At 40.0% G+C, this 16619-nt stretch overlaps 1 pseudogene, besides 1 other annotated feature; it reads left to right on the top strand.

The window, feature by feature from the left end:
• PPIAP77 (peptidylprolyl isomerase A pseudogene 77) lies at positions 2652-3391 on the top strand (annotated as a pseudogene).
• Positions 7458-8657: an enhancer, noted in NCBI's record as "MED14-independent group 3 enhancer chr5:42886955-42888154 (GRCh37/hg19 assembly coordinates)". NCBI's record gives its function as "activates an origin of replication core promoter dependent on BRD2, BRD4, P300/CBP and CDK7 cofactors, and independent of MED14, by STARR-seq in HCT116 cells {active_cell/tissue: HCT116}" and the evidence as "EXISTENCE:reporter gene assay evidence [ECO:0000049][PMID:35650434]".

The following is a 16619-nucleotide window of genomic DNA, read 5'->3' as shown; positions in this document are numbered from 1 at the left end:
AAAGGCATACAGGAGAAATCACGCTTTGGGTTTTGAAATTTTACTGTCATGCAGATGTTAGAAATCAAGACCCAGAAACTAGGGGTTGGCATTAACTTTGTGTAGCTCTGAAGACATTTTTCTTTCCTATAGTGACAGTTCTAAATTTCAATGTAGAGAAGCTTAGGTGCCGCAATGTAATTCTGAAGTCTCACAGTCTGCTTTTCCTTCTCTCCCTCTCCTTACTGATTGTCTAACTATAAAGAAAGCCACAGAGTTTGCCTTCAAAATAAAAACGTGGAAAACAGTATGGTGTCCCCTCAAAAATTAAAAATAGAATATCACTCAATCTAGCAAATCTGTTTCTGGGTATACATCCCAAATGTTTGAAAGCGGTGATTCAAAAAGGTATTTATACACCCATGTTTGTGGCAGTATTATTATTATTATTATTATTATTTTTGAGACGGAGTCTCGCTCTGTCGCCCAGGCTGGAGTGCAGTGGCGCGATCTCGGATCACTGCAAGCTCCGCCTCCCGGGTTCACACCATTCTCCTGCCTCAGCCTCCCGAGTAGCTGGGACTATGGGCACCCGCCACCAAGCCCGGCTAATTTTTTGTATTTTTAGAGACGGGGTTTCACCGTGTTAGCCAGGAAGGTCTCGATCTCCTGACCTCGTGATCCTCCCGCCTCGGCCTCTCAAAGTACTGGGATTACAGGCATGAGCCACCGCGCCCAGCCCATCTATAGCAATCTTGATCTACCAGCTCAAAAATCAACTCCACAGGTGGAGGATAAGGGAAAGGCTTTAATCAGAGTGTATAGTTTCAATGGAGGGACCATAGCAATTTTGAGTAGATCTAAAAGAACAGTTCCTAAGCATATTACACATTATTCATTCCATGAAGAGAGTTTTTCTAAATGAAAAATGTTTAGGACGTTCAGGAGAGGAAGAACAAATTAAAGAATGATCTCCACAGCAGAGACCTCAAGGCTCTCATGTGTGCAGGGCACAGTTCCAGTGCAAATGTCCGCAGGGACGGCAAGAGGGTCCCCACTGGGGTGCCTCGGGCTCCTTCCAGAACAGCAGTTGAAGCGGGTCCTACTGCAGGCCTGCAGCAAGGCTGGGGTTCCTCTCCTTTCCGAGTTCCTTCCTGATGGAATCGTGGATTTTCAGCAGCTTCCGGGAGCGGCCTGAACTGCAGAGGGCGCCCTGGGCATGTGTACTTCCACCTCCGCAGGCGCTGGCATCTCCGGGCTGGTTCAGGCCGCTTTGGACCCCACCGTCGGTAGCATCTGCGTCTTCTTGAGGTGACTGGAGCCCCTTTGTGGTTTCACCATTGACTCCTGGACATGGGAATCTCGAGGGCGTTTTTGGCCCCTCTCATTTCCGGGAAGGGCTCTGTGCCCCGTGTGGGTGCCGTCCAGCAGCCAGCTCGCAGCAGAGCTCCCGCAGAGCTGATGGCATTGGCAGGAGTGGCGGCTCAGCACAGGGAAGTTATCCAGTGCCCAGGCCCAGGCTTGCTCTCGATTCAGGTCCCATGGCATGTGGGGCTCTGGACCTGCCTGCCTCCAAGACAGCTCTTCCAAGGTTGATGGATGGAACTCCATAGCCTCAGCCTCCCAAGGCCTGACCGGCTCAGTCACACAGCTAGCCTAGGAAAACAGCAAATGGCTCAGTTCTTCCCTGACTGTGGGTTTTTGTAGTATTCTGTCTTGTACAGGAAGTCGGATACCAAAATCCAATCATGTGGGGATTAACACTTATTTACCTTGCTAATTGCTTCAGGCGGTGATAGGATTATGGTGAAAATGTTATCATTCTGGAAGGCACTATTGAAACTCCTTGGATTTTTATCAGGTGAGGTGGTAAGAGCGTGGGGCAGGGGGTGAGAGAATGGGTCCAGTTATTGGGAGTTTTCCTATTTCAATAAGAAATTGTTAGTTTTCAATATTTTAATATTTTACAATTTGGTGAGATGTTATGTGTACATCTCTTATAGATATGATGTATCAAATTAAGGGAATTCACTGTTTCTAATTTGCTAAGATGATTTTTACATTAATAATATACAGGGTTGAATTAAAAAAATTTTTTGGTATCTACTGAGATTATCTTATATTTTTTCTGCTGTTAACGTGAGGAATAATATTGATTGATTTTCAAATGCCCAACCAATGTTGAGTTCCTGACAAACACTATTAGATTATAACACATTTTTAAAAAAGCACTGGATTCAGAATACTAACATGCCATTTATGATTTTGCTCTGTGATTGGGAGAGATATTGACTGATCAAAAAATTGAGGAGGGGCACTAGAGTGATGCATGAAAATGGGCTTATTAATACGTAAACTTGTCAATATTTAAAAGGTCTTTCCTGTGACTGTCCTACCCAGTCAGACTTTTCAGATACAGGGAACATGTCTCATTTGGAGCATTTCAAAAGGCAAGATTGGCCTAAGTCATTCTATTTTTGAAGGCACCCTGAAGCAAATTTTAACCCAGAATGAATTGTTGAGGATTCCTCCTGCAGGGGAAGAACACTGAGGCACATGAGGTAAGCAGAGAGGCATATTTAATGGCCTGGCTTCCCCAAGGAAACGTTACTGAAGTAGACACCCAGGTGAGATTGTTTTATTTAAAAGTGCATTTCAAGAGTGAAATGGGCTTTGCAGATGCCACCGCTGCCAGAAGCCCTGTACTATCAGCCATGGTCAACCCCACCATGTTCTTCGACACTGACATCTCTGTTGACGGTGAGCCCTTGGGCCGTGTCTCCTTTGAGCTGTTTGCAGACAAGTTTCCACAGATAGCAGAAAACTTTCGTGTTCCGAGCAGTGGAGAGAAATGATTTGGTTATAAGGGTTCCTGCTTTCACAGAATTATTCCAGGGTTTATGTATCAGGGTGGTGACTGCACACAGCATAATGGCACTGGTGGCAAGTCCATCTATGGGGAGAAATTTGATGATGAGAACTTCATACTAAAGCATACAGGTCCTGGCATCTTGTCCATGGAAAGTGCTGGACCCAACACAAATGGTTCCCAGTTTTTCATCTACACTGCCAAGACTGAGTGGTTGGATGGCAAGCATGTGCTCTTTGGCAAGGTGAAAGAAGGCAGGAATATTGTGGAGGCCATGGAGCACTTTGGATCTGGGAATGGCAAGACCAGCAAGAAGACCACCATTTCTGACTGTGGACAATTCTAATAAGTTTGACTTGTGTTTTATCTTAACCACCAGACCATTCCTTCTGTAGCTCAGGAGAGGACCTCTCCACCCCATTTGCTTGCAGTATCCTATAATCTTTGTGCTCTCGCTGCAGTTCCCTTTGGGTTCCATGTTTTCCTTGTTCCCTTCCATGCCTAGCTGGATTGCAGAGTTGTTTATGATTATGAAATAAAAACTAAATAACAAACAAAAGGGAGTGAAATGTCCAGTTCAACAACAGAAGACAAAACTGGTAAACTGAATAGAGGTGAAAAATTGAGTGACTTCTCCTTCCCAACCAGGCTGCCCCCAAAATCACCCTTTGGGTTTCCCTTCCACTCTCTTTTAATCCAAACACCACCCCCTCACTGTTACTTCCATAAATAAACATACCTCTGCCCCATAGGCCTGGGTTTAGTCTCTTCTCTAGTACTACTGTAAAAGTGAAACAGCAAAATAGCCAACAGCACTAACTGTACTTTTTTGTTTATGGGAACTTTACTCATTCTTGCATGCAGGCTAGGATAATTTCGGAGCACTGAAATAAAATGGTGAAACGCTGTCTCTACTAAAAATACAAAATAGTTGGGCATGGTGGTGCACACCTGTAATCCCAGCTATTTGGGAGGCTGAGGCAGGAGAATCACTTGAATCCAGGAGGTGGAGGTTGCAGTGAGCCAAGATCATGCCACTGTACTCCAGCCTGGGCGACAAAGTAAGACTCTGTCTCAAAAAAAAAAAAAAAAGAAAGAAAAAAACAAACAAACAAACAAAAAAATACAACAACAACAACAACAACAAAAAACTCATCCCACCATACCCACTGACCTCACTTTAAATGTATGGTCACCAGCTTCAAGTCCTCATCTTACCTTATTTGACCTCTCAGCAGCATTTGACCCAGTTGATTACTTTAACCTCCTTGACGTTTTCACTTGGTTGAAAATATGCATACCAGTTTTCTTCCACTTTTTAAAATTTGCCCTTCTCTGCTGCTTCCTCCATATAGCTGAAAATGATTGGAAACATATTAAATATGTGAAAATCCATAATGATACTACAAAATAACTCATTGTACACATGGAAAGTTTTTAGAACACAAAAGAATTATTGGGAAACTGGTAAATAAAAGAAAACATTAAATATTTATCCTGATTTTCTTGCACAACTATATTTCAGGATAAACAAATAGTTGATAAGAAAATGTCCTTCCTTTTATAAGAAGTCTATCTAATAAAGGAATGAGAAAATCATAATATCACCGTTTGTAATCCCCAATGAAGTAATGAATCTAGATAATGTCCTTCAATGGCTCCTGAAATCATCAGGTGATAATCTGATGGGGAACTTTATAATAAATGGATTGGGCTGACACTTTTAAAACCACTAAGTGGAGACAACCAGACAATAAAATGACACAATATGAGTCTCCGGCTCAATCTAAAAAGTATTATTGCCAAAAAAGCTCAGACTTCAATTTGATCTAGCTTCACTTGTAACTACCAGCCAAGAGAATTACACCCTGGGGATGTAATTAGTCAAACCTAGAGTGTCAAACTTACAACAGAATTTCTTTAACAAATACATTTTAAGGAAAAAGTGGAGGGGAGACTATTATAGATTTTTTAAAAAGAGAGAGAGAGAGATAGGCCGGGTGCATTGAATGCCTGTAATCATAACACTTTGGGAGGCTGAGGCAGGAGAATTTTTTTAAGGCTAGGAGTTTGAGACCACTCTAGGCAACAGAGCAAGTCCCTGTTTCTTTAAGAAATATATTAAAAAAAAATTAGCCAGGTGTGGTGGCGTGCCCCTGTAGTCTTAGCTACACAGGGGACTGATGCAGGAGGGTTGCTGGAACCCAGGAGTTCAAGGCTGCAGTGAACTATGATGGCACCACTACATTCCAGTTTGAGTGACAGAGCAAGACTCTGTCTAAATATATATCTATATCTATGTGTATACACATACATATGTATATATCTATAGATATAGATATGTGTGTATATATATATATAGAGAGAGAGTGTTTTAGGCAGGTTCTCTAGAAAGCAGAGGCTGAAGCTAGGATTAAGATGCCAGCGGCTCATTTGGGTTGTGCACACTCAGGTCAGTTATTGGAAAGGAGGGACGGAGGTGAGGGAAGGGAAGATACTAAGCAGTGTGATGTGATGGGTGCCATTGTGCTGCCTCTGCCTTCACAAGCCAAGAAGTCAGCAGGTGGCTACTTGGTGCAGGGCTTCTCCAGCTGGATTGTAAGGAAAAGCCATACCTTGGACGGCTTGCTGAAGAAAAAAAGAAGTCACTTATTTGCTTGGTCCTTGTTCTTCACTGGTCATATTTTACCCTTGGAGGAGCTAACTCCTGCCCTTCTGGATTGTCACATTCAGTCTCCTGACCTTTCTGGACATCAGCTCCCATACTTAGTGGGGAAATTTTCCACCCAAGACCAAAAGTAGCATTAAATCAAGAGGGAGAAAGAAAAGTTATTGAAAAGATGCATAAGTTTGCGTCTCAAAGCAGTTCACCCCCTTTCCCATGCAGATCCTCTCATATGCTACCTATATATCCAGCTCCCAAGTCACAATATGGGATTCCTTTTTATCCCTTTGGAATGAAAATGTTCTCACTCGTTTCCTGTGAGGAGAGGTTCAGGTCTAATTAATCACAGACTCTTCTTTAAGGCTGCTAATCATGATCTCCTAGAAGAGGAAGGCAAGACAGTAAAGCAAATACATCATTCCCAACCAACCTCTGTAGCTAGTCTCAAGGCAGTTAAATTGCTCCCCAATGGCGACACTAGGTGGAGCCATAGGACCAGGTGGGATTCCTTATCTTCTCAGTAAGGGTGGTGGATGCATAGCCAGAGGAAAACATGGGTTATGAGATAATTTGTATAGTAAAGCCTCAGAAAATATTTTCTTTCTTTCTTTTTTTTTTTTGTTAAAGTGTTATGTGTATGTGGGACAGGAGTAGGGGGTGCGGGAGGATGGGCTGACCATTTTTGACTCATCTTGAAACAGTTTTCTTTCCCCTGGAATTTTAGTTTATCTAGTTCTCTTTGATTCTACAGGTCTCCAAATCCCCTAAAAATATGATAGTTTTAAATTTCCAGCTTTTCCCATTCTTACAGTGAAATATTGGCTTACAGGATTTACTTCATTTTGCTTAGAAGAGTTCTCATATTAACTTGTCGGGTGCAGTGGCTCACACCTGCAATACCAGCATGTTGGGAGGCTGAGCAGGGGCAGATTGCTTGAGGCCAGGAGTTCAAGACCAGCCTGGCCAACAAGGCGAAATCCCCTCTCTACGTCGTAGTGCACACCTGTAATCCCAGCTACTCGGGAGGCGAGCCAGAGGTTGCAGTGAGCCAGGATTGCACCAATACACTCCAGCCTGGGCAACAGAGTAAGGCTCTGTCTCAAAAAAAAAAAAAAAAAAAAAAGAGTTCTTGTATTAACTTGTAACGTAGTCATATTTTCTCATTAAAACCATTACCCTAGACTGTATCATTCTTCAACTTTCCCATTTCTCCTGTATTTCATAACCATTATTATTACTATTATTTTTGCAGAGTTGTCTATATTTGCCCTTTTCTTTTTCGCTTTCCCAGTCACATTTCTACCCATTGCAGTCCGGCTTATGCCCCCACAATTCCTCAAAAGGTTCTCTTCTTCAAATCACCAACATCTCTTCCTAATCACTACATCTAATGCATACTTTCAATCATTATCTCACTTGACTTCTCAACAGCACTGAAATTACTGCACACTCTTTCCTTCCTGAAAGCTCTTCTTTCCTCTGCATCTGTGATGTCACATTCTTATGTTTTTCTTTCTATCCCACTCGCTATTCCTTGTCATTTGCTAGTCTCAGTTTCTGGGTCGAGTTCTTATATTCCAGGATTCTTCAGGATAATATCTTCAGTTCTTTTTATCCCTCACTGTTTGCAGGATAACATATCATTTTTTTCAGTAATTTTTTTGTTTGTTTTTACCCCATACATTTACTGCCATTTAATCTAGGACAGTACTATATAAAAGAACTTTGGAGGTAATAGAATTGTGGACTTAATGAGAATTGCAATCCCATAGGAGTCTTTCAAGGAGTTTCTGTCAGACTGCACCAAAGTAGTGTTTCAATCCACTGCTTATATACAGGTGGTGGCAGCTCAGTATGTGCTCAGAAGTTACATCAAATGTGCTCGGAATTACATTACGTGTGCTCAGAAGTTACAAGCAAACAAAATGTCATCAAAGTTTGGATGTGAGGGTACATCTGGTTATAGATTACAGAGGCATAATCATTAATCCCGTTGTACATTATTTTTTGTACAGAAAAAGGCAAGGACCAGAATCATTGAACTTATCTTTTCTAAAAAATGCACTGATTCAGGCAGGAGATATGGGAATCTGTGCTCTCCCCTTCTTATCGTTTTCAAGGCATTCTTTTGGAGGGCTGTGCTCAGTCACCAAGTCAGGGGCTCTGTGAAATTCTGCTGGCAAGGGATTATGTGAAATTCTGCTGGCAAGAATGAACAAACACAGCTTCTTACATTTACTATTTTGTCTCACAGAAACATTCTCTACTTGCATTGTGCAATATAGTAGTCCTTTACCACCAGGATAGTGAGCACTTGAAATGTGATACTGTGACTAGGAATTAAATTTTAAAATTTGTTTAATATTGATAAATTTACATTTAAATAGCCACATATGGCTAGGGGCTACTGTATCACACAGCCACACAGCCCACATTTAGACCTGGAGGTATTCATTGTTTTATGGAAAGATATTATATTAGAAAAATCAGAAAAAATGCTTTGTGACATTTCATGTGGGAAATCAGGACATTGAGGAAGTCATAACCAGAAGGAAGATCTGGGCTAGATATTACAGAAGAGGCTGGAGTTCCTGCAGGGAGAGGCAGGAGCATGACGAGGGAGAGAGGTCATCGAGGCTGGGGTGAGACATCTGACTTACCGTCAGGAGCCACGTCAGTGCCTCATAAAATCCAATCTCCATTCAGGTGAGCGCCACACCCTGTCTGTGCAAAGACACTATAACAACTGTCCTTTCTCTTGTGATTCTATTGACAGCAGCCAGCAACTCACCCGTGTCTATCCAGCAGCAGACACACCATTCTGTGCCCTCATATTTTGATATGTAACAATCTGACTTACCTTCATGTGGACAACATGAAACAGCATATGAAATGAATGCCGAAACTAAGCATCACTACTTAAAATATTTATACAAATTTAAAATTTTAAACACAGATTTAATTTGTTTTTATTTATTTCTCTGTTGATCTTTTTTTTTTTTCCCTCTCTCTGATATGTTGCTAATTTTCCTGTGTTCTGTTCTTCACTTTGTTAAATCCTAGGATAAACTCAGACTGGGATATGCATGGTTCCTTTCTCACGTGCCTTTTGCTACAGAGCTGTTCTGATGCTGGTCATCTGACTGTCTCTTCTACTTCCTGTTATTATCTGAAAATGGTAGTTAAAAGCTTGGCTTTCAGTAACTATTCAGACAGGTTTGAAGAACAGTCACTAGCAATCCCCAGGTGACATTTCAGTAATGGCTTCATATAGTCTGAAAATCAGAGAGAAGGTCAGTTTCTTTAAGCAGACTTGCTATCTGGGAGTTCACTTCTCTCTGGGATATACTTTCCAAGACCCTGCCTTTAACTGTTAGCCATCTTTCAGTCACCCATGCTCAATACACTCATTCACTTAGCAAATATTTATTGAGCTCATACTAAGTGCTTGGCTTAGTTCTAGATGTTGGGCATATAGAATTTAACAATGAACAATTTCCTTGTTTTCATGTAGGAGAGAGGAGAAAGAACAATAAACAAATACATATGTAATATACTGTTAGGAAAAGTACGAAGAAATGTAACATGTTAATAGGCTGGAGAGTAAGGAGATGGAGAGGGTGGTTATTTAAGATGAAGCAGTCAGGGAGGTCTCTCTGGGAAGGTGACAAGAGAGTGGACATTGGAAAGATGGGAGAGTGTGAGCCATATGAATGTCTAGGGAGAAGGGCATTCTGGACAGAGTGACAATCCAGCACAGAATGAGCTTGATCTGCTGTAGGAAAAGGAAGAAGGTCAATTTGGTCAAACTGGCAGAAGTGAGCCAGAAAATAAAAAGAGGTGAAACTGGAGAAATAGGCAAAAGCCAGTTATTTTAGACCTTATAGGACATGGTAAGGAGTTTGGGTTTCATTCAAAGTATTATGGGAAGCCTATTATGGTGGCTCACTCTTGTAAACACAAAACTTTGGGAGGTCAAGGCAGGAGTATTGCTTGGACCTAGGAGTTGGAGGACAGCCTCGGCAATGTAGTGAGACTCCCATGTCTACGAAAAATAAAAAATTAGCCTGGCTTGACGTTGCACACTTGTAGTCCCAGCTACTCAGGTTGCTGAGGCAGGAGGACTGCTTGAGCCAGGAGGTCGAGGCTGCAGTAAGCTGTGATTATGCTACTGTACTCCATCCTGTGTGACAGAGCAAGACCCTATCTCAAAAAACAAAACAAAAACAACAACCAAAATCCAAAGTGTTATGTAGGACTTTGAGGCAGGGGTGAGGCATTATCTGATTTATGTTTTAGGCAGATCATTCTAGTTGCTATCTGGAGACCTGACCACTTAAGAGTATAAAAGGAATCAGGGAGTCCAGGTGCAAGCCTACCGCAGGGATTTAGGTGAACAAAGATGGTTTCTTTGGTATAGATAGCAGCAGTGAAAGTGGTAAACAGTGGTGAAGTTTGAAATAAATTTTGAAGGTGGAATAAATGGAAGTTTCTGATGAGTTGGAGGTGTGGTGTAAAGAAAAGAGTAAAAATATCTCCTATGCCTTGAGTCTGAAAAACTAGGTGAATATTGGGGCCATTTATTGAAACAAGGAAGTGTGGAGAGGCTGACTAGGGTTCACCAAGCATAGATGTCAAGTAGGCAGCTGGAGATTTAAGCCAATGTAAAGATGTAGGTTTGAGATTCAATATCTAAATGTATTTAAAGCCATGGAACTGAGTGAGACCACTCAAGGAGAGGGGAGTAGATAGACAAGAGTGTTGAAGACTGAGGTAAAATGTTGGAAGAAGTAAAGGAGTCATCAATAGAGGCAGAATGGAGATGTCCAGTGAGATCTGAAGAATTTTCAAGGGGAAGGAGGTGATAACCTGCTACAATGATGGTTACAGGTAAATTAAGATGGAGATCACTGGTGTCTGGAGAAGGCCAAGTTCAGGGGAGTGAGAGGGGTGAACACTCAATCAGTGTGTGCTGAAACCACAATGAGAGCCAAGGAAGTGAAGACAGTAAGAACAGACAACTCTATTTAGAGGTTTTTCTCTAAAGGGTTGCTGAGGAACAAAGCAGTAGTTGGAGGTGAATTAAGGGAGTCTAAGGAGGGATCTTTACTTGCTTATGAGAGATATTACAGAAATATTATATGGTTCCCTTCAGAGAGCTGAGTTTTAAGGGCAAAGATACAGAACTTGGAGGGCAGAGTTTGCTCTCTGCTCCCTGCAGAAACACTCCAAGAGACTTTTGCCTGAGAACTTAGCTTGCATAGAAGGAATGGAGTCCAGCAGCTGGGGTCAGCATAGCCAACATTATTGGGCATTTTGGGATGATCTTCAGATCTGCATTTTGTCCTGAAGTTTCACAGTGAAGTTCTAATTGGGTAGCCCAATCATGTAGCCTTTGTAACCCCACATGTGCTATTTTCCCCTGGTAACTGGTGAAAGTGAATGTAAATAGTGGATTAGTGTGGTTTGAGGTCTATGGAGTGTAATAGGCCAGTGTGGTTGTGTTCTAGGTGAGAGTGCAAGATCAAAGGGCAAATCCATGTGCCCCCTTCTCAAGATGGGGATAACAAGGGAGAACGTATTGATGCTAGTCTGTCTTTTTTTGTCTGCTGTTACCTTTTCTTCCTTGTTTTTGAGAAGTTCTCAGGCTCTCTTCAACACCATCCCACCAGGAAAGTAAGTTAACATGAACTGACCTATCCTGATGTAAACAAAAAGAGTGAAACTCTGAAATATTTGAGATTTATTTTGATTCAAACATGAGTGATCAGTGGCCTGCGACACAGCCCTCAGGAGATACTGAGGACATGTGCCCAAGGTGGTCAAAGCACAGCCTAGTTGTATACATTTTGGGAAACATGAGACATCAATTAACCACATTTAAGATGTAAATTAGTTTGGTCCAGAAAGGCAGGACAATTTGAAGCAGGGGACCGTGAGGGGGAGAGGGGTTTCAGGTTATAGGTAGATTTAAAATTTTTCTGATTGGCAATTGATTGAAATAGTTATTATCAATAAAAAGAAATGTCTGGGTTATGATAAAGTGTTGTGGAGACCAAAGTTTTATCTTGCAGATGAAGCCTCCAGGTAGCAGGCTTCAGAGATAACAGATTATAAACGTTTCTCATCACACTTAAGATCTGTGTTGATATTAAACGCTGGCTGGGTTTTCCTGAATTCTAAAAGGGAAGAGGGTATAATGAGCCATGTCTGACCCCACTTCCCACCATGGCCTAAATCAGCTTTTCAGGTTAACTTTGGAGTGCCCTGGCCTAGAGGAGGGGCCCATTCAGATGGTTGGCGGTGGGGTGCGGTGGGGGCTTAGAGTTTTAATTTTGGTGTACAGGTTTTATACTTCTTCTCTTCTTTTCCCATTTTAAAAGAGGTGGCTGAAATTTACCTCATGAATAAAAACTGGGAAATTGTGACATCAAATATTATAAATGTAGGGAGAGGTGGAGTAGAAGTGTAGAGTTTTTTTAATGCTATCAAAGTCAAGTTATCAGCTTATCACCATTATAAGATTTTTTTGTAAGCCTCATGGTGCTCATGGTAACCACAAAGCAAAAACCTATAGTAAGTAAAAAAGGATTTTTTTAAAAAAGAAATCAAAACATATAAGCATAACACTGGAGGAAATTTCTTAATCACAAAGAAAGACCAACAAGAGAAGAAAAAAACAAAGGTTCTACAAAACAATCAGAAAACTATTTAAAAAATGGCAATAGCAAATCCTTATCTATCAATAATTATCTTGAGTTTAAAAGAATTAAATTCTTCCATCAAAAGTCATAGAGTGGCTGAATGAATAAAAAAAAACACCCAATCATAACCTGCCTACAAGAGACTCACTTCATCTGTAAGAATACAACACATAGAATGAAAGTGATATAAATGGAAACCAAGAGAAAGCAGGAATAGCTATACTTAGAACAGGTAAAATAAATTTTAAGTCAAAAAGTGTAAAATGAAACAAAGAAGGTCATTATGTAATGATAAGAGGTTAATTTAGCCAAAGGACATAACGAATGTAAATATATACATGCCCACACAAAAGTACCTAAATATATACAGCAAATAGTAATAGATCTGAAGGAAGAGATTAGACTATAACACAATAACAGTAAGAGATTGCTATACTTAACTTTTAGCAATGGACAGATCATCCACATAGAAAAATCAATAAGGAAACACTAGCCTTAGACTATACCTTAGACCAAATGGACCTAACAGACATACACAGGACATTCCTTGCAATAGCTGCAGAATACACATTCTTCTTAAGCACAAAAGGAACATTCTCCAGGACAGATAATATGTAATCATATATGCCACAAAATATGTCTTAACAAATTTAAGAAGATTGAAATCATATCAAATATCTTTTTTGAACAGAATGATATAAAACTAGAAATCAAGAGAAATTTTGGAAAACTCACAAACACATAGAAATATTCAATAAAAGATCTAGTCTGTAATCCAGAACTACTGAGTCAAAGCTTCCAACTGTGAGGGCTAAGAAGTTTTGTTTTAAAAATTTCTGATATGGCAAGTTCAATAATATGAAATCTAGCTAGAACTAGTGATAACGTTTGGTAGATTTACCCCAAATTATTCTTTGTGAATAATTTTATTTATTCATTTTATATACAATTATGGGATGATATTGTATATTGTATTTGTATTCAGGCAGAACCCCAAGCCCAATTAGCTTAAGCAAACAGAGTTTATTGGCTTATGACTGAGAAGTCTAAAGCTGGTTCTGACTTTAATAACTACTCAACCTAGGGTGTCTGATATCTTCACCATCTTTATTTGGGAGTTAAGGCCTTTCTTTTCCTTAACCAAGTTCTAGGAAGAAAAGGTCCAGGACTTGTTTTCATTAGCCTGTCTTTCATGATGTACCAAGGAAATGAGTTACCTTAATTTAATCTAATTAACGTTTTTGACCTATGTGGGTTGGAGTCAAAGCACCACTTGAAACACGTGAGATGTTTTTCCCATAGGAAAGGGAAGTTCTATTAGCAGAAGAAGGAGGGGAAAGACATCTGCTGATCAGAAGAAAATAACAGATGTGATTAACACGCACTACATAGTTCTGCTTCCTGCTGTTTTCACTTAATGTTGTATACTCATCACTTTTTCATATCCTCAAAAATTCTTTGAAAATCTGATATTTTATTACCACACAATATTCTACTTTATATGGACAGTCTATTGGTTATCAATTGCTGCAAAATAAATTACCCTCAACAGCGTAAAACAACAAAAAATCTATTATATCCTATAGTTTCTCAGTGTCAGGAATACCTGAGTGGCTTAGCTGGGTAGTTTTGGCCACATTCTGTCATGAGTTTGCAGTCAAGCTGTCCGCTAGAGGGAAGATGTTGGTCAAAGGGCACACAATTTCAGTTATATAAGATAAATAAGTCCTAGAGACCTACTGTACAGCATAGCACCTGTAGTTAAAGATACTGTATTGAATACCTAATTTTCTAAGAGCATAGATCCTAAATGCTCTTATCACAAAATAAAATATAAAATAAAAGAGGCTCCTGCTTTTTGTCTTTCCACATTCTGCCCCAGGCCATCTCCCAGGCCCTGGGAACATCTTTGGCTTGTGCAAGAGCAGATCAGAAGTGCCAGGGGTTAAAGCCCTTGAGACCAACCCTTGGGAGAATGGTGTTGGAGTATTTGCTCCGCCTTCCATCTTTCAGGTGAACCATTCAGAGAAAGTCTGTACACCACTCAGAAGTCCCAGCAGAATTGAATCTCCATTGCTGATGGCAGGGACCTCAGTAATGCATCCTTACATGAGCTCTCCCTGCTTCCTCATGTCCCTCTCCAAGCTCCCTTGACCTGGTTCCCTAGTAGATCTTTTTAAATAAACTGCTTGCACCTAGTCCTTGTCTCAGGGTTTGAGTTCAAGGAAATACAAAACAAATCACCCTTTAAAACTATTTTTAAAAATTATATGGCATCAATATTTCAAACAGTTATGTAGCAACCATCTTGTTGAGCTAAACTCAAAGTCCCAGAAAAGGGAACAAGGATTCTTTACTGTCATACTAAGTAAATGTAATATTGTGTACATACCCTGTCTTACTGTGTTTTTGAATTAGTTAAAAGCCATCTCCATATTTTCTTAAGTAAACACATTATAGCCAATTGCACAATAGATGCTAACAGAAAACATTACTTTTCAGATATGGAATGTTCTAAGCAATATATTTCAAAGATTGTAAGAGATTTTCCTCCAAGAAAATGAGAGTAATTAAAATCCTCCGTATTTGGCATCCTCTTTCCTGGGATGATTAAGGCCTCCAGCTCTTGGCAGGTCAAGCCATTAAGGAAATCTGTGTGGCCATTTGAACAGGAAGGATTATACACTGACTACAGTTATCACTGGTCCAGAGGTAGAACATGCCAAAACTACTATTCAGGATAATTTTGAACTTGCTGATATGTCAATTTCAGTAAACAGAGTAACAAAGGACAGCCTGAAGTTTCCTGGGCTGGTGATGTGTGAACCCCCACGATTCTATGCAAGTCCAATTGCTAGAGAAGTGGCTTCAAATCAACTCTAAATTACTTTGGGCATATAGGAGGAGGGGAAGGAAGATGGCTACTCCATTAGTCCTCTTTATCCTTAATTTTTACAAATTGTGTGTATACTTTACGCAGTAGAAATTTACACTACAAATTCTGAATAAATCAACATGCTATCATTGTTTACCATCACTATAAAATGGTGGAAGAGTAAGTCCATTTATTCATGCAGAGATGAAACAGTTTTAAATTTATATTTTAACCTCATTAAAATTCTCAACTTACAAAAAGAACTACTAGCCAATCTCTTAGCCCAAGTGTCTGTTAAAACACTTGTTTGTTTGGGAACTTAACTGAAAACACAATTCTCAAGGAAATTGGCAGAATTATAACTATAAGCTTATAGTGACTCAATATATATTAAAAAGTTAAGGTAAAAAATATAAGAAAATGCTAATATGTAAACACTGCAAATATTTTAGTGAAGTAGAAAATACTTCTATCATATAAGGAACCAGTCTAATTTATGCTTAGATTTTTCACATATTGAATTTTGTGGTCAATGACTAATTACTCTTGTTTCTAAAATGAATGACATAATTTTAGCTAAAAGCATAGAAACTTGGGGATCTAGCAAGCATTTGCAGCATTATAGTGAGCAAATGAAGATATGCTTTTTAGAAAACACTATCTTAAAGAAACTTCTCAGACTTTTATTGTTACTTTCAAGGACACCTTGAGTGTCTGAAGACTCTAGATTAAGATCCACTGGTTTGGCTTGCAGATTCTTTCTCTTGGAAATCTGCCTGGGTCATATGGTGCAAATCAAGGCTAGGGCCCTGGTAACCTAAAATGATCACCCTCCCAATGCCTGACTATCATAAAGATCATAAAACAGCCTCAGAGACGAGTTCATAGCAAAGTCCACTCTAGAGGCAATTCTCTTACAAGTGGATCCTGCAGGGCGATATGTTTGATTAGCATTTATAGACTGAAGTTTCCCTTTGTGAGGTCAGAGCTGGACTGTCTGCTGTTCCTGCCTGTGCTGAGGCCTGATCATCAGCTTGGCAGTAGGTCACCAGGAAGCTTTACTTTAAGTTCCAAGACAGAGAATTTTAGATTTTCTGCTTTCCAGACTACCCACCATCCCCATGGAAATGGAAATCCACTCCAAATCCCACCTAAACACACACACACACACACACACACACACGCACACACACACACACACATGCATGAGCAGAAAATAGACTTATTGATACACTTTCCTGAGCACAGGCCTACAAAATGCTTTTTCGTTTTTGACATCTAATGATTTAAGATGTGGCCTATACCTAGAGAAGAGCTAAATATCAGGACAAACATTCTCTTCTTTTTCCTAGTCTTTTCTTCTTTTTCATTGAAAAAGCTAAATGCTGAATTCACAATTTTTATAGTGAAGCCAGCTTATCTTTTTCAGATCCTAACACTCAGACTCTTAAGTAGCTGGCTTTAGTTCTTAAAATAAAATTGGTAACTTTTTTCTCCTAACTCACCTTTTTAAAAAAACACCCCAAA

This window comes from Homo sapiens, chromosome 5 (genome assembly GCF_000001405.40).
Source record: "Homo sapiens chromosome 5, GRCh38.p14 Primary Assembly".
In the NCBI taxonomy this organism is placed as follows: domain Eukaryota; kingdom Metazoa; phylum Chordata; class Mammalia; order Primates; family Hominidae; genus Homo; species Homo sapiens.
This window is presented reverse-complemented; position numbering and strand designations above follow the sequence as displayed.